We start from the raw sequence: 22,463 nt of genomic DNA on the forward strand, positions 1-22,463 counted from the left end.
ATTCATATATAAATATATATAAATATATATAAATATATAAATATATATAAATATATAAATATATATAAATATATAAATATATATAAATATATAAATATATATAAATATATATAAATATATAAAAATATATAAATATATATAAATATATATAAATATATAAAAACATAAAAATATATATAAATATATATAAATATATAAAAATATATAAATATATAAATATATAAAAATATACAAATATATAAATATATACATAAATATATATAAATATATATAAATATATAAAAATATATATAAATATATAAATATATATAAATATATATAAATATATATAAATATATAAAAATATATATAAATATATAAATATATAAAAATATATATAAATATATAAATATATAAATATATATAAATATATAAATATATAAATAAATATAAGTATTTATGAATATATATGAATATATAAATATATAAAAAATATATATAAATATATAAATATATATAAATATATAAATATATACATATATACATATATAAATAAATAAATATAAGTATTTATGAATATATATGAATATATAAATATATAAAAAATATATATAAATATATAAATATATATAAATATAAATATATAAAAATATATAAAAATATATATAAATATATAAATATATATAAATATATAAATATATATAAATATATATAAATATATAAATATATATAAATATATATAAATATATAAATATATAAATATATATAAATATATATAAATATATAAATATATAAATATAAATATATAAATATATATAAATATATATAAATATATAAATATATATAAATATATATAAATATATATAAATATATATAAATATATAAATATATATAAATATATATATAAATATATATAAATATATAAATATATAAATATATAAAAATATATAACAATATATAAATATATATAAAAATATATAACAATATATAAATATAAATATATATAAAAATATATAACAATATATAAATATAAATATATATAAATATATAAATATAAATATAAAAAATATATATAAATATATAAATATATATAAATATATAAATGTATAAATATATATAAAAATATATAACAATATATAAATATATAAATATATAACAATATATAAATATATAAAAATATATAACAATATATAAATATAAATATATATAAAAATATATAACAATATATAAATATAAATATATATATAAATATATAAATATAAATATAAAAAATATATATAAATATATAAATATATATATAAATATATATAAATATATAAATGTATAAATATATATAAATATATAAATATATAAAAATATATAAATATATATAAATATATATAAATATATAAATATAAATATATAAATATATATAAATATATAAATATAAATATATAAACATATATAAATATATATAAATAAACATATATAAAGATATATAAAGATATAAAGATATATAAATATATAAATATATAAAGATATATAAATATATAAAGATATATAAATATATAAAGATATATAAATATATAAAGATATATAAATATAATATATAAATATATAAAGATATATAAATATAATATAAAAATATATAAATATATATTAAAAATATATACATATAAATATATGTATATTTTTTTGAGATGGGGTCTCGCTCAGCCACCCACGCTGGAGTGCAGTGGCACGAGCTCGGCTCACTGCAACCACTGTCTCTCGGGTCCAAGCAATTCTGTCTCAGCCTCCCAAGTAGCTGGGATTACAGGCACCTGCCATCATGCCCGGCTAATTTTTGTATTTTAGTAGAGATGGAGTTTCACCATGTTGGCCAGGTTGGTCTCGAATTCCTGACCTCAGGTGATCTGCCGGCCTCGGCCTCCCAGTGCTGGGATTACAGGCATGAGTCACCACGCCCGGCCCTATATATATTTTTGAGACAAGCTCTGTGTCTCCCAGGCTGGAGTGCAGCAGCATGATCATGACTCACTGTAGCCTAGACCTCCAGGGCTCAAGTGATTCTCCCACCTCAGCCTCCCAAGTAGCTGGGATTACAGGCATGCACCACCACACCCAGCTAATTTTTGTTTTGTTTTGTTTTGGAGACAGAATCTCTCTCTGTCACCCAGGCTGGAGTGCAGTGGTGTGATCTCAGCTCAGTGCAACCTCCACCTCCTGGGTTCAAGTGATTCTCATGCCTCAGCCTCCTGAGTAGCTGGGACTACAGGCGTGAGCCACCACGCCCTGATAAATTTTGTATTTTTTTTTTCAGATGGAGTCTCACTCTGTCATACTCAGGCTGGAGTGCAGTGGCGTGATTTTGGTTTATTGCAACCTCTGCTTCCTGGGTTCAAGCGATTCTCCTGCCTCAGCCTCCAGAGTAGCTGGGATTACAGGCGCCTGCCACCATGCCCACCTAGCTAACTTTTTTTTTTTTTTTTTTGAGATAGAGTCTCACTCTGTCACCCAGGCTGGAGTGCAATGGGGCGATATTGGCTCACTACAACCTCCACCTCCCAGGTTCAAGCGATTCTCCTGCCTCAGCCTCCTGAGTAGCTGGGATTACAGGTGGGTGCCACCACGCCAGACTAATATTTGTATTATTAGTAGAGACGGGGTTTCACCACATTGGTCAGGCTGGTTTCGAACTCCTGGCCTCAGGTGATCTGCCTGCCTCGGCCTCCCAAAGTGCTGGGATTACAGGCATGAGCCACTGCGGCTGGCCCAATTTTTGCATTTTTTTGGTAGAGACGGGGGTTTCACTATGCTTCCCAGGCTGGTCTCAAACTCCTGGACTCAAGCGATCTGCCTGTCTCAGCCTCCCAAAGTGCAGGGATTACAGTCATGAGCCACCACTGCACGGCCCCAAAATTTATTTATTTTATTATTATTATTATTTTTTAGATGGAGTCTCCTTCTGTTGCCAGATTGGAATGCAGTGCCACGATCTCAGCTCACTGCAACCTCCCCCTCCTGGGATCAAGTGATTCTTTTTTTTTTAAGACTCTGTCTCAAAAAAAAAGAAAAAAAAAAAAAATATATATATATATATATATATACACGAATTTTGGGCCAGGCACAGTGGCTTATGCCTGTAATCCCAGCACTTTGGGAGGGCCGAGGTGGGTGGATCACAAGGTCAGGAGTTTGAGACCAGCCTGGCCAATATGGTGAAACCCTGTCTCTACTAAAAAATACAAAAATTAGCTGGGCGTGGTGGCACGAGCCTGTAATCCTGGCTACTCTGGAGGCTAAGGCAGGAGAATCGCTTGAACCGGGGAGGCAGAGGTTGCAGTGAGCCAGGATCGCATCACTGCACTCCAGCCTGGGTAACAGAGCAAGACTCTGTCTCAAAAAACAAACAAAACAAAACAAAACAAAATAAATAACGGTGCAAAATTGAATATGCCTTTTTGACTCTCTAAATGCCTCAGATCCATTTACCCTGGGGATTTGTCCTTTCTAGCCCCACCACCATCTCCCCTCTGGAAGACTGCTGACCTATAAGGATAAAGACCAGACTCTTGAGCAGGCACTTAGGGTCTTCCTGCCCATCCCTATCCCCAACTCCCCCTCAGTAATTTTGGCTACTAGTATTTCTCCACATCTGAGGCTATCGTGGGTCTCCCTTCAGTGGTCATGAAGGACAAGGTTGGAGAAGTTTGCCCTCGTGAGTCTGATGAGGGATTGGGTGGGATCCCTCTAATAGCATATGGAGGGGATGAAATGGGCATGAGACCAAAGGCCAGGAGAGCAGCAAGGAGCTGTGGCAATCATCCTGACAAGAGAGACTGTGGCCCAGGCCAGGGTGTGAGGGGAAGATGGAGCCAAGGGGATAGATATCAGAGCTATTTGGGAGGTAAAATTGGCACAAATTGGGTACTCAGCAAATATTTGTTGACTTTCCTGGCTACTCTTTCTAAAGTAGGCTCTTCATTTGCTCTTCTGTTTATTCTTCCTTCATAGCACTTTTCACAGCCTGCAATTACCTTGTTTATCTGCTTGCCTATTGTCTGTTTCCATCAAGCAGAATGTAAACTAAATGAGGGCTGCAAGCTTGATTAGTTTTATTCGAGATAGTGTCCAGCACTTAGCAGATGCTCTCAATAAATCTTTGAGGAATGGCATGGTAATTGATTGGCTGGCACAGAGGGAGGGCAGAGAGGTGAGAGACAAGGCCAGGAGGCCTGTGGTCCTGGGCCTCTGTCTCTGGCCCTGGGAAGGGTGGGCATTGCGCAGGGGTCTAGGGGTCCACGTGGTCCAGAGACTAGCTGCCCAAGTGCCCGTGTCTAGCATTTGAGAAAATGCAATTCCCAGCCAGGCAAGGTGGCTCACGCCTGTAATCCCAGCACTTTGGGACGCCGAAGCGGGTAGATCACCTGAGGTTGGGAGTTCCAGACCAGTCTGACCAACATGGAGAAACCCCGTCTCTACTTAAAAAAAAAAAAATACAAAATTAGCCGGGTGTGATGGCGCATGCCTGTAATCCCAGCTGCTCGGGAGGCTGAGGCAGGAGAATCGCTTGAACCTGGGAGGCAGAGTTTGCGATGAGCCAAGATCGCGCCATTGCACTCCAGCCTAGGCAACAAGAGCGAAACTCTGTCTCAAAAAAAAAAAAAAGAAAGAAAGAAAGAAAAAAGAAAATCCAATTCCCATTCACTTTCTGGCCTCTGGCTGCTGACCCAGGCCCGGGGGTATTTTCAGAGGAAGGGAATTGCGGACCCCGGAGGAACCCGAAATTTGCCCCTCAAGAGTGTAGAAGTGGGTAGCGGAAGATGTGGCCTGGAGCATGGTAAAAGCCTTGAAATTCCAGACTCTGCTTGACTCCTAAACCTGGCAAGGCAGCCCTCGGGCCAGGCAAGCCAGGCGCGAGACTGTGCCTTCCTTCCAGGCCCTAAAGAGGGCAGCACTGGGCCGGGCCCCGGGCGAGGGCGAGGGACACACGCGGTCCGGCACACTGAAAGGGGAGTGTCGGGTAACATGCCCGGGCAAAAGCGAGCGCCGCCCCTGCCTCTCCGCTGCTGGCTGGAACGCTGATCTATCTAGTTGCTGGGGAGACGCCCCCAGATGCCCGGGCCCCACTCGGACTTCAGCACACATCCCGAAGGATGGGGAAAGAAAGAGGCCCCCACGAGCGGGACTCGCAGTGGCCAAGGAGGGGTGAGAGGCGGACAGGGATCAGCTGGCCCCTGCGGCCTGGTTGCACCTGCATGGTGACTAGCTGCCGGGCTGCGCCCCGGGGCGCGGCGAGGAGGCGGGGTCTGGCAGTGCGTTGGGTGGGGGAGGAGCTTCTGGGTGATGTAAGGCCGGGAATGGGAGTGGCCTCTCCTCGACTCGCTGCTAGGAAGGGGGCGGGACTCTCGGTGACCAGACGCCGGGGAGGGGGCAGGCGTTCATTGATAAAACGCTGGGCTCCCCTGGGCGCCAGCGCAGCGTAGCAAATCCAGGCAGCGCCACGCGCGGCCGGGGCCGGGCGGAACCGAGAAGCCGGGACCGCGCTGCGACGCGCCGGCCGCATGGAGCCTGCCGCCGGTTTCCTGTCTCCGCGCCCCTTCCAGCGTGCGGCCGCCGCGCCCGCTCCCCCGGCCGGGCCCGGGCCGCCTCCGAGTGCCTTGCGCGGACCTGAGCTGGAGATGCTGGCCGGGCTACCGACGTCAGACCCCGGGCGCCTCATCACGGACCCGCGCAGCGGCCGCACCTACCTCAAAGGCCGCTTGTTGGGCAAGGTGGGCCGAGGGACGTCCGCGGGGTGGTGATGGTGGAGGTGGGGGTCCCGGCCGGCCTCTTTTCTGGCGCCGAGCAGGGCGTGGGCACTTGACCCCCAACGCGGGGACGCCCGCGGGCCAGACTCGGCCCCCCTGGAACAACCAGCCTGATGCCCCCTCTTCACAGGGGGGCTTCGCCCGCTGCTACGAGGCCACTGACACAGAGACTGGCAGCGCCTACGCTGTCAAAGTCATCCCGCAGAGCCGCGTCGCCAAGCCGCATCAGCGCGAGAAGGTGGGTCCAGGCTCAGCGGGCGAGGGGTGGGGTGGGGACGGTGGCATGGGAACCATGGAAGGATGACGACTCCGCGCCCTCATCGCAGATCCTAAATGAGATTGAGCTGCACCGAGACCTGCAGCACCGCCACATCGTGCGTTTTTCGCACCACTTTGAGGACGCTGACAACATCTACATTTTCTTGGAGCTCTGCAGCCGAAAGGTGAAAGATGGTGATTCCCGCAGGGATGAGAGTGAGGGAGAGAAGACAGTCTTTTTTTTTTTTTTTTTTTTTTTTGAGATGGAGTCTTGCTCTGTTGCCCAGGCTGGAGTGCAGTGGCGCGATCTCGGCTCACTGCAATCTCTGCCTCCCGGGTTCAAGCAATTCTCCTGCCTCAGCCTCCTGAGTAGCTGGGATTACAGGCATGCACCACCACGCCCGGCTAATTTTTGTATTTTTAGTAGAGACAGGGTTTCACCCTGTTGGTCAGGCTGGTCTCAAACTCCTGACCTTGTGATACACCTGCCTTGGCCTCCCAAAGTGCTGGGATTACAGGCGTGAGCCACTACACCCAGCCGAGAAGACAGTCTTAAGACCCAAAGCTGGGGCCCTGTTTCTTCCTCAGGGAGCACAGATGGAGGGGGAGGGGGAGGGAGGGCTCACCAGGGGCTGAGGCAGTGGCTCTCTGCAGTCCCTGGCCCACATCTGGAAGGCCCGGCACACCCTGTTGGAGCCAGAAGTGCGCTACTACCTGCGGCAGATCCTTTCTGGCCTCAAGTACTTGCACCAGCGCGGCATCTTGCACCGGGACCTCAAGTTGGGTGAGACTCCTGAGCCTGGAGGATGGGAGGTTGGGGAGGGAGGGAGGGAGGGAGGAAGGAAAGAATCTGACACACCTCTCTTGCCCCATCTAGGAAATTTTTTCATCACTGAGAACATGGAACTGAAGGTGGGGGATTTTGGGCTGGCAGCCCGGTTGGAGCCTCCGGAGCAGAGGAAGAAGTGAGTTTTGAGGAAAGGGGCCCTGTGTGTGATACAGATGACATGCGTGATAGACAGTGCATATGTATGTGGGAGGCAAGGTGACTGCCTGATGTGTGCATGAGATAAATGGGAAGGGATGATGGGCTGTTCATGCATGTGTGAAGGTGGAGGTGGCAGCCTGTGTTACCGAGACCGGTGGAGAGGGGGAGGATCCTATAGGTGTATGACACAGATAGGGTAGGTGACTCTGAGTCCCTGAGACAGATGGGGGTATACAGATTCTTGGAGGCACATGACTTACCCTTTGTGTGGATGGGGGAAGGTGACAGGCAGCGTGTATGTGTGTGTGAGAGACAGACTGAGAGTGTGGAAATGGTGGGATATGACATTGTGGGTGTAAGAAGACCCTGCTGTGGCCATCATACTTTGTGTGTGTGACACAGATAGCGTATGTGGCAGATGAGTGTTTATGGGGGTTGTGACAGCTGGTGTTGGTGTGTGTGTGGCACAAACCGTGGGAGGTGACAGCCTGATGCCTGTCTGACAGACAGGAGTGCAGGAAGGGGGAAGGGATCAGCTGTGGACTCTCTGTGTTGACCCTAGAGGAGAGGACTGGGCTGGGGGTCAGGCCCTCCCCCTGTCATGAAGAGCAGCTGAGCAGCTGGGCCAGGCGGGTGGGCGGGGACTCAGCTGCCATCCCTGGCATCCATTGTCCCAGGACAAGCAGGAGTTCTCTGGCCTTTGGTGACAGGCAGCTGCTTTGTCTGGACTAACAGTGGGGGAAGGAGTCGGGGGGCTGCTGGGCTGGGTCTCAGCCTTCTCTCCTCCTCCCCACCCTCTTTCAGGACCATCTGTGGCACCCCCAACTATGTGGCTCCAGAAGTGCTGCTGAGACAGGGCCACGGCCCTGAGGCGGATGTATGGTCACTGGGCTGTGTCATGTGAGTTGCAGGGTCCAGGTTCAGCAGCAGACAGGTGGTGGGTGTGTGGGTGGAGCATCTCCTCCACTTTACTCCTGACCCCTTGGCCCTGCCCTATAGGTACACGCTGCTCTGCGGGAGCCCTCCCTTTGAGACGGCTGACCTGAAGGAGACGTACCGCTGCATCAAGCAGGTTCACTACACGCTGCCTGCCAGCCTCTCACTGCCTGCCCGGCAGCTCCTGGCCGCCATCCTTCGGGCCTCACCCCGAGACCGCCCCTCTATTGACCAGATCCTGCGCCATGACTTCTTTACCAAGGTCTGTGGCTCCCCAGACCTCTAAGTCCATCTGTGTATTCCCAGGGATTGAAAGGGGGCAGGTGACAGGACCCCTGGAGCCTCTCTTCTCTGTTCACATGGTTCCCCTCCCTAGGGCTACACCCCCGATCGACTCCCTATCAGCAGCTGCGTGACAGTCCCAGACCTGACACCCCCCAACCCAGCTAGGAGTCTGTTTGCCAAAGTTACCAAGAGCCTCTTTGGCAGAAAGAAGAAGAGTGAGTCTGGGGTGTCAGTGGGTTGAGGGGGCAGAGCAGTAGAGCGGCTTGTCACATTTGTCTTGGGTGTGTGAGTGTGGGTGCCTGGAAACTCCTGGGGAGAGCATGTGCAGTACAGGCACTTGGGGAGGCCAATCTCTGTGTCATCCCTGTCGGAAGTGGAGGGGCTGGGCAGGATACTGAGGACGGTATCACCTTTCACCCCCAGGTAAGAATCATGCCCAGGAGAGGGATGAGGTCTCCGGTTTGGTGAGCGGCCTCATGCGCACATCCGTTGGCCATCAGGATGCCAGGCCAGAGGTGAGGCGCTCAGGTGGACACTGTTCCCCTGACTCACCCCCACCCTAGCAGCTGAGGGAAGCCGGGGATAAAAGAGGCTGCTGAAGCATCCAGCCTCGTGGTGGCCTAATTGGCTGTGTGTCACCAGCCTGGCGGGGCTGACCTGGGGTGCCCTGGGAGCCAGGGCAGGGCCAGGCCATGGACTCAAGGGTTTGGATTTTGGGGCCTGTGTCACTCCCTTTCCCTGCCCAACCCTCCAGGCTCCAGCAGCTTCTGGCCCAGCCCCTGTCAGCCTGGTAGAGACAGCACCTGAAGACAGCTCACCCCGTGGGACACTGGCAAGCAGTGGAGATGGTGAGGAGCCAGGGAGGATGAGAGGTGATAGAGGTTGCTGGAGCTGAGATCAGGGGCGAGAGGGAAGGAGTGGGCAGAGGGGCCTGGCCTGGGTCCTGGGGTGCTAATTCCTAAATCTCAGTGCCCTGTCTCCTTCAGGATTTGAAGAAGGTCTGACTGTGGCCACAGTAGTGGAGTCAGCCCTTTGTGCTCTGAGAAATTGTATAGCCTTCATGCCCCCAGGTAAGGGTGGGGTCTGGTACATGCTGCTGTGGTGGGAGTTCTGTGGCTGGGAGGCCAGGAGCAGGTGCTGACTCCCTCCTCTCCCATGACAGCGGAACAGAACCCGGCCCCCCTGGCCCAGCCAGAGCCTCTGGTGTGGGTCAGCAAGTGGGTTGACTACTCCAATAAGTTCGGCTTTGGGTATCAACTGTCCAGCCGCCGTGTGGCTGTGCTCTTCAACGATGGCACACATATGGCCCTGTCGGCCAACAGAAAGTAAGTGCTGTTATGGGGTGCCTTGTATTCAGGCCACTAATCCAGCAGGGCCGCACCCTCGTGAGTGCTCCTGGGCTCAGGGGTCTGGGTTTCTCAGAGGAGGGGCATTGGTGCAGGGCTCCCTCTGACCTCTGCCTCCCCATTCTAGGACTGTGCACTACAATCCCACCAGCACAAAGCACTTCTCCTTCTCCGTGGGTGCTGTGCCCCGGGCCCTGCAGCCTCAGCTGGGTATCCTGCGGTACTTCGCCTCCTACATGGAGCAGCACCTCATGAAGGTGTGAGGGCTGGGGCTGTGGTACATTGAAACCTAACCCATCCTGGCCGGGTGCGGTGGCTCACGCCTGTAATCCCAGCACTTTGGGAGGCCGAGGCGGGTGGATTATGAGGTCAGGAGATCGAGACCATCCTGGCTAACAAGGTGAAACCCCGTCTCTACTAAAAATACAACAAATTAGCCGGGCGTGGTGGCGGGCGCCTGTAGTCCCAGCTACTCGGGAGGCTGAGGCAGGAGAATGGGCGAACCCAGGAGGCGGAGCTTGCAGTGAGCAGAGATGGCGCACCATTGCACTCCAGCCTGGGCAACAGAGCGAGACTCCATCTCAAAAAAAAAAAATAAAGAAAAGAAAACTAACCCATCCTGATCCCTCTGATTCCCCCTTGGTGGTGGTTGGGGTTGCTGAAAGCTAGAGGATAAGGCATACACTAATGGGGAGGGGGCTGTCTCACGCTGGATCAGTGACCTGCCCTGATCCTGCTCCCAGGGTGGAGATCTGCCCAGTGTGGAAGAGGTAGAGGTACCTGCTCCGCCCTTGCTGCTGCAGTGGGTCAAGACGGATCAGGCTCTCCTCATGCTGTTTAGTGATGGCACTGTCCAGGTAAGAGCCTATCCAGGAGTTGCGGGAAGGTCTGGGAGGCCCAGGGTGCTGGGGAGGAAGCTGGGCCCGGAGCCTAGGTCCTGACCACTGTCATGCTCTGTGTGCAGGTGAACTTCTACGGGGACCACACCAAGCTGATTCTCAGTGGCTGGGAGCCCCTCCTTGTGACTTTTGTGGCCCGAAATCGTAGTGCTTGTACTTACCTCGCTTCCCACCTTCGGCAGCTGGGCTGCTCTCCAGACCTGCGGCAGCGACTCCGCTATGCTCTGCGCCTGCTCCGGGACCGCAGCCCAGCCTAGGACCCAAGCCCTGAGGCCTGAGGCCTGTGCCTGTCAGGCTCTGGCCCTTGCCTTTGTGGCCTTCCCCCTTCCTTTGGTGCCTCACTGGGGGCTTTGGGCCGAATCCCCCAGGGAATCAGGGACCAGCTTTACTGGAGTTGGGGGCGGCTTGTCTTCGCTGGCTCCTACCCCATCTCCAAGATAAGCCTGAGCCTTAGCTCCCAGCTAGGGGGCGTTATTTATGGACCACTTTTATTTATTGTCAGACACTTATTTATTGGGATGTGAGCCCCAGGGGGGCCTCCTCCTAGGATAATAAACAATTTTGCAGAATTGGACTCCCCCTCACTCGCAGTAGAGCCCGTGGACCGTGGCCACCGCGAAGAGCGAGGTGTTGGTGTAGGAGACCGAGGCCAGCCCATCGCGCGCCACGTCCCAGAGCGCACGGCTGACCACGTGAACGCCCTGGCCCGCGCGCGGCCCCAGCACCACACTGCATACCAGCTTGTAGCGTGGCGGGCTGAGCTCGCGCAGGCGAACGTGCACCTGCTCGCAGAGCTCCCGCACCAGCCGCGCGGCCTCGTCGCTGGAGTAGCACGCGTCGTGCAGCCCTGCGGCCAGCGCCGCCTCCAGGGCACGCTGTGCACGCGCAGCCTCCCAGCGCTCCCCGGGCACTGGCTCCGTGCGGTAGGAGGGCGCCACCCAACGGGCGGGCGCCAGGGGCAACCCTGAGAAGCTGACCCTTGAGCCCAGAGGGGGCACCGGGCCCAGGGATGGCCGCTGACCCCCAGGACCCGCGCCTGGCCCGACCAGCGAGTTGCGGCGGGAGAAGGACGCGGCCAGGCCCAGCATGGAGCCCCGGCGCGAGGCCGGGGCTGGACCTGGACCTGCCGGTCGGGCCTCATCAATGCTGGGCAGGCAGCCTCGGGGCCGCACCGGTGAGGGTTTCCGCCCGGAGTCTTTGGCATTCTCCTCCTCCTGGCGTCCCGGGGGCAGAGGCCTGCTGGCCATGGACCTGCTGGCTGGAGGAACCACACTCAGGGTGGCCTTCACCAGGCATCTGTCTACCCACCCCAGCCTCTTGCTCAGTGATGTCAAGGGTTTTTACCTTCTACCCCCTTCTTACCTGTGTTTTAGAACAAGTGGATCAGATAGTCCCAGGCTGCCTGGGTTCCTAGGTGCTGAGAAGGTTAAAGGCTGTTAGACACATGAGCAGGGGACAGGAGGCTGCTAGGACTGGGATCCTCGGCTAGTCCTTGCCGACTGAGCTCCTTCTCTGGGCACTATGGAAGTTAGCCAGGTACGCTCGGAGTCTTAGAGACTGCCATTTCTCCCTTCCACCCGACTTCTCTGGAAGGAGAGGCAGGCCTCTGCCTCAGCCTGGACTGTGGAGGCAGAGCCTCCAACCCCTAACCAGGAAGGACTGACAGACTCAGCTCCTTCAACCCCACAGATCCTTCCAGCCCTGGGGGTGTTGAATCCAGTCATCTTCCACCCAGATCTACTCTAGGGTGGCTGGCACAAAGATCTCCCCTACACCTGGCCCAGGCTGAGGGCAGATGACTCATGAAGCCCCCTTCCACCTTCTGCCTTTGGCCTCTGATCCCACTTCCTCCAGAATCAGTTCTGAGATGGCTGCCCTCTGCTCCCGAAACTCCCTCAGGCACCTGAGTCACCCGCAGGCTTTGGCTTCTGAGTTCTGTCCTGGCTGCACAGCCCTGGCCCCGCTGGCCTGAAGGGCAAGTGGGAGGGGAAAGACCTGTGTTGTGGAGTTGCCATGGGTTGCTAGAGCAAACACTCCTCCCTCCCAGGATCCCTCCCTCCAGTCTGGCTCTGGCTTAACCTGAGAGCATTGTTGCTGTGAGCATGTGCTGAGCATGGGGTGCCCCTGAGTCATCAGGGAGAGCGGCCGACAGGGTCTTGCAGCTTAGAGGCAAACTTCCTAAGCGCAGGCAACAGAGGGGCAGATGTAGAGCAAGGCTGTGGTCAGAAAGGCTTTGTCCTACCCCAGGACTCTTGAGCCAGGGCCCATTTTCTCCCCTTGTGGAATGGCCAGATGACTGGCCATTCGTGAACAAGTCACAGAGGCCTAGGTTAGGGGGAGATCTTGAGGCTGCGGGGGTGGTGGCTCAGGAATCCAGAGTCTGGGCCCACAGGAAGGAACACGTCATGGCTCTGTTGTCTCCCCATCGGCCTCGACAAGGACAAACATTTCCGCTCCCGGCGCAGAGTTAGGGTGGGGCTTGGATGACTTCCTCAGTTCAGGGCTATGTGCGGGGGAGGGGAGGCCCACTGGCTCAGCTGGTAGGCACCAGGCCTTATAAAGTGGCAGTGACTCGGCAGTGAACCCCGAGTCCAGCCTCGTGACCTTTGCTGACCCAAGTGTCCTGGGGCTTGTCCCTAGCTGGCTACACCTCTAGTACCTAGGTTTCCCCAAAGTTACATTTCAGAGATGGCAGAGGCTGTGACACCTCTGCCAGGGCTGACAACTCATGTGACTCCTCCTCTGGCAGGGATGGGACTGTCCCCTCCCAAACAAGCCAGGTCGGGGCCCTGACCCATCTATGGGGGCGAGGATTTTCCCTGTTGAGTGGGGGTTTCCCCGGCCTGGCTAACCGGATCCTGACCCTGTGTGCCTGTGGAGGAGGGAAGGGTTAGGAGGGCAAGGAGTTTGAACTCTGAACCTAGGGCAGGCTCAGCTTCGGGGGCTAAGACCCTCGTATGGCGCTTAATGCCCCTCTAAGGGCTGAAGTTTTCCCTGGGCCTGCCCGGGAGATGGGTGGAGTCTCTTCTCAGGCCAGCTCCAGTTTCCATGGAAACCCACAGGCTTCCCACCCCGTCGGCTGCCTGGGCAGACTCCCAGCCAGGGCCTCTTTCGCCGCCGCCGCCGCCGCCAGCCAGCCAGCTTCTTCCCAGGACCATAGGCCACTCCAGCCTCAGCTTCTCCTGGCCCCCTCCCTGTGTCTGTTCCTGTCCCCGAGCCTCTGGCCTCTGATGCCTTCAGGAGCTTGGGCCTCTCCTGCTCCACTCCTAAACTTCAGCTTCTCAGCAAACAGGCCTCCCAAGTCCCTGCTTCTCCCTCTCAGGCCTTGCTAACCTCACCAGCTCTAGGGCCTGGCCAGGCCTCCCAGGCTCCCTCCTCCACCCCAACCCCTTCTCACTCATGGAGCCCTTGGGACTGGTCGTGCATGGGAAAGCTGAACCTTTTTCCGCAGCACTCCGAAGCCTTGTCAACAACCCGCGATACAGGTGAGGGGTGGGCCCTGCCTGCGGGTTTTTCTTAGCTGGCTCTGTGGGCCCCAGGACTCTAAGGAGGCCCTGGTGAGAAGAGGCTGGGAATTAGAACTTGGCCATCCTCCCTGGTGAACTTAGGCTATGGGGAGGTCAAATGTGGAACATGGCTACTGGTCACTCAGTGTCTGTGAGACCCTGAGGGCCAGAGGCAAGGCTGGCGGGGTGGAGCTGCTGTGTGAGCTCAGGCAAAGCCCTTCCTTCTTTGGACTTTGGCCCCTGGCAGAAGAAAATGATTCTCAGCCCCTGGGATCCTTAGAGATGGTGGGTCATGATTCCCCTCCTCCCTCCACTCACTCAGCTTGGTATTGAGGCCTCACTGCTAGAAGAAGAGGAACAGATGACCTGTTCTGGGAACTGAGGCTTCACAAGAAGAACAAAGCTCCAGAGATTGAGCCATAGTCCCTGACAGGAAGCCTCGGGGGTGCTGGCTGCTCCCTGCTGGCCGGGATGCCAGTGGTGTCTGAAACCAGGGGTAGAGTTTACAGGAGGCCGGGCTGCTCAGGAGAGCTAGAATGAAGTTCTCTGTCCTCATGGTCTCAGATCTGAGCTCTTCCCCAAAGGGTGGTGACTTCCATCACCCTGCTTCTTTGGGGTCACAGTCTGGTCTGGGTAATGTGAACCCCCCAGGCTTTGGACCTGGGACTAAGAGGCTCTAGGAGGCTCCAGCCTCATCTGCCTCCTATCCCCTGCCTTGTTCAGAGGCCCAGAGCTGGGGCCGGAAGTGATCATGAAGATGGAAACTGTGGTCTGGCTCATGATGGTGCATCACTGCTGTGTCTGTTTGCAGTCGTTGTGCACTCTGTGCCCCACACCCCCACACCCTCCTGTCTGGAGGAGGGCTGAAAAAAAGCTGAGTTTGCAGCTGGTGGAGGAGGAGCCAAAAGAAGCTTCCCTGCCCCCAAGACTCAGGCTGGGGAGGAGAGGGGAAGGTGGGATCAACCTTGCTTCTATTAGCCCAGATGCCCCTCAGTAATCAAGCATAGTCATCTCCTCTGAGACCTGAGGTTTAGGATTATTGTCCCATTTCATGGGTGAGAAACCTGAGATTCAAAGATAGGAAGTCACTTGCCTATGGTACCCATTAGGTGGAGCTGGGACTAGAACTCAGGGCTTTGGGTCCCAGACCTTCTGCTGGAGGGACGAAGCCCTGTCTCTTACATTCTGGTTAGGAAACTAAGACCCAGAGTGGGCAAAGGCACAGCCCAAGTTGCACTCCGGGTGCTGGCCTCCTCCCCGCTGCCTCTCTGCCTGTCTCCCACAGTGATGTTTGCTTCGTGGTTGGTCAAGAACGGCAGGAGGTATTTGCCCATCGGTGCTTGTTGGCCTGTAGATGCAACTTCTTCCAGCGACTTCTGGGCACAGAGCCAGGCCCCGGGGTGCCCAGTCCTGTGGTGCTAAGCACTGTGCCAACTGAGGCCTTCCTGGCAGTGCTGGAGTTCCTATATACCAACAGTGTCAAGCTGTACCGCCACTCTGTGAGCCTGCTGACCAGGGGCCTGGGTGGGAGAGGTGGGGGGTGCCAGAGGCAGGAGTTTGCCCATTACACTGTGGGCACAGGGCAGGGGAAACTCCCTTCCACTCCCCCAACCACCCACTCTACAGGTGCTGGAAGTGCTGACAGCGGCTGTGGAGTATGGGCTGGAGGAACTGAGAGAGGTGGGTTTTTGTGCCAGGTCCCTGTCTCATTTCCCTTGCTTCTCACGGGCTCACTTCCCGCCCTGCCTCACACACACTCTGGCCTGGAGAGGAACGTGTGCCCACACAGAGAGAAGTATGTATATCTCTCCCAAGTAAGTAGGGCATGTATGTGTGCCTGTGTGCAAAAGGATCCATGCATGCCTGCCCTGTGTGTGCTGTGGGAAGAGGGGGTGATTATGGCTGGTGCTGTAGATACAAAGATATCAGCCTTGATCCGTGTTCTCCAGAGAGGGAGAGGAGACAGACACATGAAAATGCTTACCTGGGTGGCATAAGAAGTGTGATAGAGGCCGGGCGCAGTGGCTCACGCCTGTAATCCCAGCACTTTGGGAAGCTGAAGCAGGTGGATCACTTGAGCCCAGAAGTTCCAGACCAGCCTGGGCAACATGGTGACACCCCATCTCTACTAAAAGCACAAAAATTAGCCAGGCATGGTGGCACACACCTGTTAATTGCAGCTACTTGAGAGGCTGAGGCACAAGAATCGCTTGAACCTGGGAGGCAGAGGTTGCAGTGAGCTGAAATCGTGCCACTGCATTCCAGCCTGGGTGACAGAGCAAGACTTGCCCTCAAAAAAAAAAAAAAAAAAAGAAAGTGTGATAGAGAAGCGTGAATGGTGCCGAGACTGTATGGGGGGACTCTCCAGTCCCGCCACTAGGGAGAGGAGAAGACTTCCCAGAGGAGGAAACATTTGTGTTCGATCTGGTAGAACAAATAGGATTTTGTTCCTAGGGGAAGTGGGAAGATGGTATTCTAGTCACAGAGGCACCAAAGGAGCTAGTGAGACATTTGGTGTGTCTGAACTGTGAGGAGAGGGCAAGACGAGACTGCAGAGGACGCCAGGGCCTGGTTCATGTAGGGCCCTCAAGCTTTTGGACTTCTTTTAAGCAGAGGGCAGTGGAGATTCACTGAAGGTTTCCGATAAGGGAGTGAAGAATTGGAAACTCAGGGGAGAAGGGATTGGAAGAGGTGGAGAGGACTCGCTAGTCCAGTCAGGAGGCTAGTGCAGCAGTCAAGAGATGAGAGATGTCACGGATGAAATTCAAGTTTCTGCTAAAAATAGAAGTATCCTTGAGTCAGGAAGGGAACAAGTGGAGGAAGATAAGCATCCTGAAAGAAGGGGAGAATTTTGCATGGCCTTTATCTGGTTTTGATTAGTGGCGAATGTACTAGAAGGTGGGTGGCTGGGCTTGGTTTTGCTAGTCTCCAGTTCCTGTAAGCCTGCTGTCTCAGGCTCTAGCAATTCCCTGCCTCCCCTGGCCTGGGTCAGGATGGGTCTGGGGCTGCTGGGTGACTCACCGCTCCAAGCCTGCTCACTGCTTCTGGGGTGGAACTAGTGTCTTGGAGCAGGGACACCGCCACCCAACCCACATTCATTTCTGTTCCCAGCTGTGCCTGCAGTTTGTGGTGAAGGTGCTGGATGTGGACTTGGTTTGTGAGGCCCTGCAGGTGGGTGCTGCTGGACAGGCATGGTAGGAGTCTGGCTCTGTGTGTGGAAATGGGCTCCCAGCACCTGGGAGCCTGGGCCTGCTGTGTCTGGCCTGGAAATAACTTGGGTACATGGTGGTGGTGGGGGTGCTCCAAGGATGTTTATAGGATGAATTCTGTGCCTAGATCTGTGGGATCCTGGGTGTATCAGCAGGGTCAGGTGCAGGAGCAGGTGTTGAAGGGGCTGGAGGTCTTTGCTGGTCTTCTGTCTGTCAGGGCTGGGGAATGGTTCTCAGCTTGACTTGGGGTAGGGAAAGGGTGGCTGTAGACTTTAGAAGTCAAGCTGGGTCAGGCACAACGGCTCACACCTGTAATTTCAGCACTTTTGGAGGCCGAGGCGGGCGGATCAAGAGGTCAGGAGATCGAGACCATCCTGGCTAACACGGTGAAACCCTGTCTCTATTAAAAATACAGAAAATTAGCCTGGTGTGGTGGCATGCTCCCAGCTACTCTGGAGGCTGAGGCAGGAGAATCGCTTGAACCCGGGAGGCAGAGGTTGCAGTGAGCCGAGATTGCGCCACTGCACACTCCAGCCTGGGCAACAGAGTGAGACTCTGCCTCAAAAAAAATCAAGCCTAGGTCCCAGGTGGGGTTTGAAGGCCATGGCGTGGTCTCCTGTAGGGAAGAGCAGGTTGTAGAGTGAGTCCACGTGTGTGTGTGTGTGTGTGTGTGTGTGTGTGTGTGTGTGTGTGTGTGTGTGTAGCAGGCTTTCATTGGGTCTAGTTTCCTGGAGGGCTGAGGGCCCTGTCAGCCTCCCCAGCTAGGGCTAGGGTCAGGCTTGCAGTGGTGGGTCCCAGTGAGCAGGCTGGGCTACGGCCTCTCCAGTCTCCAACCTGATCTCCCTCATTCTGCTCGCAGGTGGCCGTAACCTTTGGCCTGGGGCAGCTGCAGGAGCGCTGCGTGGCTTTCATAGAGGCCCACAGCCAGGTACTGCTCCCTTCATACTCCTCACCCTACGCACCGCATTCTGCTCCTCCCTGACCCATTTGCCGGCTCGCAGGAGGCCCTCCGGACCCGAGGCTTCCTGGAGCTGTCGGCGGCCGCGCTGCTGCCCCTGCTCCGCAGCGACAAGCTCTGCGTGGACGAGGCTGAACTGGTCCGCGCGGCCCGAAGCTGGGCGCGCGTGGGCGCGGTGAGTGGGGCTGGGGGAGCGCAAGGGCACGGAAGGAGGTGCTGGCCACGAGACTGGTGAGCGGGCGGCAGGACAGGTGCCCGACTCAGGGCTGGCGTTTGCAGGCGGTGCTGGAGCGGCCGGTGGCTGAGGTGGCGGCCCCGGTGGTGAAAGAGCTGAGACTAGCCTTGCTGGCCCCGGCGGAGCTGAGCGCCCTGGAAGAGCAGAACCGGCAGGAACCACTCATCCCGGTGGGGACGCGGGGAACCGGCCCAGCTCCACTCAGCAGGGGGTACAGGGCGCTGGGAGGGGGCAGGAGCAGCCCGGCCCACGGTCCTCGGGGCGAGGGGCCACCGCGGGACTGCGCACTAACTGGCCTTGCTCTGCAGGTGGAGCAGATTGTGGAGGCGTGGAAATGCCATGCCCTGCGGAGAGGGGATGAGGCCCGGGGCGCCCCGTGTCGCCGCCGGAGAGGCACCCTGCCCCGGGAGCATCACCGCTTTCTGGACCTGTCCTTCAAATGATCCAACGCCGGGACTCGCAGGGAGCCCTCGACCCGCCCAGCTGAGCCTGCCCCAAACTACAGCTCCCGAAGTGCTCGGCGTTCGGAGCGGGCTTCCGTTCCCAGCGTGCCCAGTGAGCCGGGCGCCGGAAGAACCGTTGTCTGCCACGCGCAGCCCCTTGTGCGGGATCAAGCCCGTGTGGGCGAGGTGGGGTCGGGCCGGGCAGGGCTTGGGCTGGGCCTCCCTGAGGGGGTGAAACTCGAAAACGAGGATTTCCTTCGTTCCACACCCTGACTCTACGCCCTGCCCCTGGGCATTGTCGTCTACTAGTCTATTCTGATGACTCCCACATATCTATCTGTTCAGCTCAGCTCCCTCTTTCTTTTCTTTTTCTTTCTCTTTCTTTCTTTCTTTCTTTCTTTCTTTCTTTCTTTCTTTCTTTCTTTCTTTCTTTCTTTCTTTTTCTTTCTTTCTCTTTCCTTCCTTCCTTCCTTCCTTCCTTCTTTCTTTCTCTTTCTCTATCTCTTTCTTTCTTTCTTTCTTTCTCTCCTCTCTCTTTTTTTTGAGACGGAGTCTCGCACTCTCGCCCAGGCCGGAGGGCAGTGGTGCCATCTCGGCTCACTGCAAGCTCCGCCTCCCGGGTTCACGCCGTTCTCCTGCCTCAGCCTCCGGAGTAGCTGGTACTACAGGCGCCCATCACCACGCCCGGCTAATTTTTTTGAATTTTTAGTAGAGACGGAGTTTCACCGTATTAGCCAGGATGGTCTCGATCTCCTGACCTTGTGATCCGCCCGCCTCGGCCTTTTTTTTTTTTTTTTTGAGACAGAGTCTTGCTCTGTCGTCGAGGCTGGAGTGTAGTGGTGCGATTTCGGCTCACTTCAAACTCCGCCTCCCGGGTTCAAGCGATTCTCGTGCCTCAGCCTCCTGAGTAGCTGGGATTACAGACATGCACCACAACGCCCGGCTAATTGTTGTATTTTTAGTAGAGACGGGGGTTTCACCATGTTGGCCAGGTTGGTCTCGAACTCCTGACTTCATGTGATCCGCCAGCCTCGGCCTCCCAAAGTGCTGGGATTACAGGTGTGCGCCACCATGCCCGGCCTCAGCTCCTTCTTTCATTCCAGACCTGCCCCCCTGGAGATCGCTCCCTGAATGCCCCTCAGACACCACAGGCTCGGCGAGAAATTGATCTCCCCAGCTTTTCCCCAGCTCTGCCCCCATCGTGTTTCTCATTTCCGTGGACACCCACGCCAGAAACCTGGATCTCATCCTTGCCTTATCGCTCTTCACACCTGCCTTAGGTCTCTTTTTACCTTGTAAGAGACCTTAAGAGACCTTTCCAGTTGGTTCAGTTCTCTCAGCCCCAGGTTCAACCTGTCCTGTCTGACACGTCTCACAGCCTTCCTGCCTTCACTCCAGCGCCCCCTCAATCCATTTCCCACAGTGCAGCCAGACCTGTTTTTGATTGTCAGTCCTATGGGGCTTAAGTCCTGGAACATCCCATTGACCTCCAGGACAAAATTCAATCTATTTCACTTTCAGGGCACTCAAAACTACTAGTGAGTGGTTCCTCACCTCTTCTCTCAAATACAATCTTTGTATAAATTCATTTATCCTGGAGGTATTAGTCCTCTAGCTCCATACCTTACTCAGTTACTGCAGACCCCTCTGCTACCTCCTTCATTCACTATACATCTTGTTTTCCCGAGGATGTGAATCTCCCTCAAGAAAGATCCCTGGGGCCTGGAGTGGTGTCTTACTCGTTTCTGCTTCCTCAGTCTCTGTCAGATAATCAGTGCTATGTAAATGTTAAGTAAATGACTTTATTTATTTATTTATGACACAACCTTATTCTCACCCAGGCTGGAGTGCAGTGGTGCAATCTCGGCTCACTGCAGCCTCAGCCTCCCAGGCTCAAGTGATCTTCCCACTTCAGCCTGCTGAATAGCTGGGACTACAGGCATGTTCCATCACATTCGGCTAACTTTTTTTTTTCTTTTTGTAGAGATGAGGTCTCCCTACGTTGCCCGGGCTGTTCTCAAACTCCTGGGCTCAAGCAATGGTCCCACTCCGTCCTCCCAAAGTGCTGGGATTACAGGCATGAAGCACCACCACACCCAGCCTATTTCCTCATTTAAATGCCACTTTATTCCATGAAGAGTTTTAAAGGAGCTGCAAAGCAAGATACTGTCAATCTAAAATGAGAGACAGTTGACTATTTAGAAGAAAATAAAGTTAGATTTCTATCTCAGGGACTTCATACAAAAATATATTGTACAGGAGGCCAGGCACCGTGGCTCACGCCTGTAATCCTAGAACTTTGCGAGGCCGAGGTGGGTGGTTCGCCTGAGCTCAGGAGTTCGGGATCAGCCTGGGCAACATGGCAAAACCCTGTCTCTAAAATACAAAAAACTAGCCAGGTGTGGTGGCACATGCCCGTAATCCCAGCTACTTGGGAGGCTGAGGCACGAGAATTGCTTGAATCTGGGAGGCGGAGGTTGCAGTGAGCTGAGATTGTGCTACTGCACTCAGCCTAGGCAACAGAGTGAGACTCTGTCTCAAAAAAAAAAAAAAAAATATATATATATATATGTATATATATATATACACACACACACACACACACACACATAGATGTGTGTGTATATTATATATACACATAGATGTGTGTGTATATTATATATACACATAGATGTGTGTGTATATTATATATACACATAGATGTGTGTGTATATTATATATACACATAGATGTGAGTATATTATATATACACATAGATGTGTGTATATTATATATACACATAGATGTGTGTATATATTATATATACACATAGATGTGTGTGTATATATATACACATAGATGTGTGTGTATATTATATATACACATAGATGTGTGTGTATATTATATATACACATAGATGTGTGTGTATATTATATATACACATAGATGTGTGTGTATATTATATATACACATAGATGTGTGTGTATATTATATATACACATAGATGTGTGTGTATATTATATATACACATAGATGTGTGTGTATATTATATATACACATAGATGTGTGTGTATATTATATATACACATAGATGTGTGTGTATATTATATATACACATAGATGTGTGTGTATATTATATATACACATAGATGTGTGTGTATATTATATATACACATAGATGTGTGTGTATATATATTGCACAGGGATTAAAGATAGTTATTTAGCATTATCTCTCGACAGAAAATGTGCTTACTCAGTAGTACATGGCAGCATTGATTGGATAGTGGAAATTGAAAATCATCTATACGTCCATTACCAGAGGACTGGTTATATTAACTATGGTATATTCCTGTAATATTTAAAAAATCCATGATCTTTGGTGAAAAAAGCACAGAATAGACCAATTACAGCATGATTCCTCTTGTTAAAAGAAAAAAGGTAGCATAGTGATTAAGAGCGTGTCTCCTGGAGCCAGAATGCTTGCATTTGAATCCCAGCTCCGCCACATATTTTCTTTGTGATTAACCTTTCTTTGCCTCAGCTTCCTTATTTATAAAATGGAGATAATGGAACCTATTTAGTAGAGTTTTTAGGAAGATGAAAATAATTTCATAAAATACTTAGAATTGTAGTGGGACAGATTAAATTCT

At 51.5% G+C, this 22,463-nt stretch overlaps 3 protein-coding genes across 19 annotated transcripts, besides 17 other annotated features; 2 read left to right on the plus strand and 1 right to left on the minus strand.

Moving 5' to 3' along the window:
* Window positions 4,443-5,111: an enhancer, noted in NCBI's record as "H3K27ac-H3K4me1 hESC enhancer chr1:45265053-45265721 (GRCh37/hg19 assembly coordinates)". NCBI's record gives its function as "activates a minimal SCP1, AML or CMV promoter by ChIP-STARR-seq in naive and primed H9 embryonic stem cells {active_cell/tissue: H9 hESC(naive and primed)}" and the evidence as "EXISTENCE:reporter gene assay evidence [ECO:0000049][PMID:30033119]".
* Window positions 4,443-5,295: a biological region, named in NCBI's record as "H3K27ac-H3K4me1 hESC enhancer GRCh37_chr1:45265053-45265721".
* Window positions 4,796-4,855: an enhancer, noted in NCBI's record as "active region_947". NCBI's record gives its function as "activates an Ori minimal core promoter by ATAC-STARR-seq in GM12878 lymphoblastoid cells {active_cell/tissue: GM12878}" and the evidence as "EXISTENCE:reporter gene assay evidence [ECO:0000049][PMID:35858748]".
* Window positions 4,906-5,295: an enhancer, noted in NCBI's record as "active region_948". NCBI's record gives its function as "activates an Ori minimal core promoter by ATAC-STARR-seq in GM12878 lymphoblastoid cells {active_cell/tissue: GM12878}" and the evidence as "EXISTENCE:reporter gene assay evidence [ECO:0000049][PMID:35858748]".
* Window positions 5,396-5,675: a silencer, noted in NCBI's record as "silent region_820". NCBI's record gives its function as "represses an Ori minimal core promoter by ATAC-STARR-seq in GM12878 lymphoblastoid cells {active_cell/tissue: GM12878}" and the evidence as "EXISTENCE:reporter gene assay evidence [ECO:0000049][PMID:35858748]".
* On the plus strand, window positions 5,439-11,052 carry PLK3 (polo like kinase 3). Of its 3 annotated transcripts, NM_004073.4 has the most exons (15): window positions 5,439-5,735; window positions 5,902-6,009; window positions 6,098-6,214; window positions 6,684-6,813; window positions 6,907-6,994; window positions 7,822-7,917; window positions 8,017-8,215; window positions 8,330-8,453; window positions 8,662-8,753; window positions 8,993-9,086; window positions 9,225-9,308; window positions 9,401-9,563; window positions 9,712-9,841; window positions 10,328-10,441; window positions 10,549-11,052. In NM_004073.4, exons 1-15 carry the CDS (start codon window positions 5,526-5,528, stop codon window positions 10,738-10,740), a joined length of 1,941 nt encoding a protein of 646 aa, NP_004064.2. In that variant the 5' UTR covers window positions 5,439-5,525; the 3' UTR covers window positions 10,741-11,052. The 3 variants fall into 3 exon arrangements, with proteins under 3 accessions (NP_004064.2, XP_047300411.1, XP_047300419.1); XM_047444455.1 differs by lacking the exons at window positions 9,712-9,841; window positions 10,549-11,052; XM_047444463.1 differs by lacking the exons at window positions 8,330-8,453; window positions 9,225-9,308; window positions 9,401-9,563; ... (1 more) ...; window positions 10,328-10,441; window positions 10,549-11,052 and having other exon boundaries at window positions 8,993-9,085.
* Window positions 6,066-6,115: an enhancer, noted in NCBI's record as "active region_949". NCBI's record gives its function as "activates an Ori minimal core promoter by ATAC-STARR-seq in GM12878 lymphoblastoid cells {active_cell/tissue: GM12878}" and the evidence as "EXISTENCE:reporter gene assay evidence [ECO:0000049][PMID:35858748]".
* Window positions 10,882-11,732: an enhancer, noted in NCBI's record as "H3K27ac-H3K4me1 hESC enhancer chr1:45271492-45272342 (GRCh37/hg19 assembly coordinates)". NCBI's record gives its function as "activates a minimal SCP1, AML or CMV promoter by ChIP-STARR-seq in naive and primed H9 embryonic stem cells {active_cell/tissue: H9 hESC(naive and primed)}" and the evidence as "EXISTENCE:reporter gene assay evidence [ECO:0000049][PMID:30033119]".
* DYNLT4 (dynein light chain Tctex-type 4) lies at window positions 10,955-12,413 on the minus strand. 7 transcript variants are annotated; one of them, NM_001377536.1, is made up of 3 exons: window positions 12,387-12,413; window positions 11,846-11,900; window positions 10,955-11,737 (listed from the first exon to the last, which is right to left on the minus strand). In NM_001377536.1, exon 3 carries the CDS (start codon window positions 11,728-11,730, stop codon window positions 11,065-11,067), a length of 666 nt encoding a protein of 221 aa, NP_001364465.1. In that variant the 5' UTR covers window positions 11,731-11,737; window positions 11,846-11,900; window positions 12,387-12,413; the 3' UTR covers window positions 10,955-11,064. The 7 variants fall into 7 exon arrangements, with proteins under 7 accessions (NP_001364465.1, NP_001364463.1, NP_001364464.1 ...); NM_001377534.1 differs by having other exon boundaries at window positions 10,955-11,741; NM_001377535.1 differs by having other exon boundaries at window positions 10,955-11,741; window positions 12,303-12,413.
* Window positions 11,733-12,582: an enhancer, noted in NCBI's record as "H3K27ac-H3K4me1 hESC enhancer chr1:45272343-45273192 (GRCh37/hg19 assembly coordinates)". NCBI's record gives its function as "activates a minimal SCP1, AML or CMV promoter by ChIP-STARR-seq in naive H9 embryonic stem cells {active_cell/tissue: H9 hESC(naive)}" and the evidence as "EXISTENCE:reporter gene assay evidence [ECO:0000049][PMID:30033119]".
* Window positions 11,733-13,375: a biological region, named in NCBI's record as "P300/CBP strongly-dependent group 1 enhancer GRCh37_chr1:45272786-45273985".
* Window positions 12,176-13,375: an enhancer, noted in NCBI's record as "P300/CBP strongly-dependent group 1 enhancer chr1:45272786-45273985 (GRCh37/hg19 assembly coordinates)". NCBI's record gives its function as "activates an origin of replication core promoter dependent on BRD2, BRD4, P300/CBP, MED14 and CDK7 cofactors, with strong dependence on P300/CBP, by STARR-seq in HCT116 cells {active_cell/tissue: HCT116}" and the evidence as "EXISTENCE:reporter gene assay evidence [ECO:0000049][PMID:35650434]".
* Window positions 12,850-13,099: an enhancer, noted in NCBI's record as "active region_950". NCBI's record gives its function as "activates an Ori minimal core promoter by ATAC-STARR-seq in GM12878 lymphoblastoid cells {active_cell/tissue: GM12878}" and the evidence as "EXISTENCE:reporter gene assay evidence [ECO:0000049][PMID:35858748]".
* Window positions 13,434-14,283: an enhancer, noted in NCBI's record as "H3K27ac-H3K4me1 hESC enhancer chr1:45274044-45274893 (GRCh37/hg19 assembly coordinates)". NCBI's record gives its function as "activates a minimal SCP1, AML or CMV promoter by ChIP-STARR-seq in primed H9 embryonic stem cells {active_cell/tissue: H9 hESC(primed)}" and the evidence as "EXISTENCE:reporter gene assay evidence [ECO:0000049][PMID:30033119]".
* Window positions 13,434-14,739: a biological region, named in NCBI's record as "H3K27ac-H3K4me1 hESC enhancer GRCh37_chr1:45274044-45274893".
* Window positions 13,480-13,849: an enhancer, noted in NCBI's record as "active region_951". NCBI's record gives its function as "activates an Ori minimal core promoter by ATAC-STARR-seq in GM12878 lymphoblastoid cells {active_cell/tissue: GM12878}" and the evidence as "EXISTENCE:reporter gene assay evidence [ECO:0000049][PMID:35858748]".
* Window positions 13,585-20,647, plus strand: BTBD19 (BTB domain containing 19). Of its 9 annotated transcripts, XM_017000448.2 has the most exons (9): window positions 13,585-13,968; window positions 15,275-15,488; window positions 15,616-15,669; window positions 17,101-17,160; window positions 17,520-17,552; window positions 18,058-18,126; window positions 18,200-18,331; window positions 18,436-18,602; window positions 18,700-20,647. In XM_017000448.2, exons 1-9 carry the CDS (start codon window positions 13,883-13,885, stop codon window positions 19,067-19,069), a joined length of 1,185 nt encoding a protein of 394 aa, XP_016855937.1. In that variant the 5' UTR covers window positions 13,585-13,882; the 3' UTR covers window positions 19,070-20,647. The 9 variants fall into 9 exon arrangements, with proteins under 9 accessions (XP_016855937.1, XP_006710449.1, NP_001130009.1 ...); XM_006710386.4 differs by lacking the exon at window positions 17,520-17,552; NM_001136537.3 differs by lacking the exon at window positions 17,520-17,552 and having other exon boundaries at window positions 18,436-18,561.
* Window positions 14,130-14,739: an enhancer, noted in NCBI's record as "active region_952". NCBI's record gives its function as "activates an Ori minimal core promoter by ATAC-STARR-seq in GM12878 lymphoblastoid cells {active_cell/tissue: GM12878}" and the evidence as "EXISTENCE:reporter gene assay evidence [ECO:0000049][PMID:35858748]".
* Window positions 15,250-15,339: an enhancer, noted in NCBI's record as "active region_953". NCBI's record gives its function as "activates an Ori minimal core promoter by ATAC-STARR-seq in GM12878 lymphoblastoid cells {active_cell/tissue: GM12878}" and the evidence as "EXISTENCE:reporter gene assay evidence [ECO:0000049][PMID:35858748]".
* Window positions 18,981-19,050: a silencer, noted in NCBI's record as "silent region_821". NCBI's record gives its function as "represses an Ori minimal core promoter by ATAC-STARR-seq in GM12878 lymphoblastoid cells {active_cell/tissue: GM12878}" and the evidence as "EXISTENCE:reporter gene assay evidence [ECO:0000049][PMID:35858748]".
* Window positions 20,648-22,463: the final 1,816 nt, after the last annotated feature.

Source organism: Homo sapiens, chromosome 1, assembly GCF_000001405.40.
Source record: "Homo sapiens chromosome 1, GRCh38.p14 Primary Assembly".
In the NCBI taxonomy this organism is placed as follows: Eukaryota; Metazoa; Chordata; class Mammalia; order Primates; family Hominidae; genus Homo; species Homo sapiens.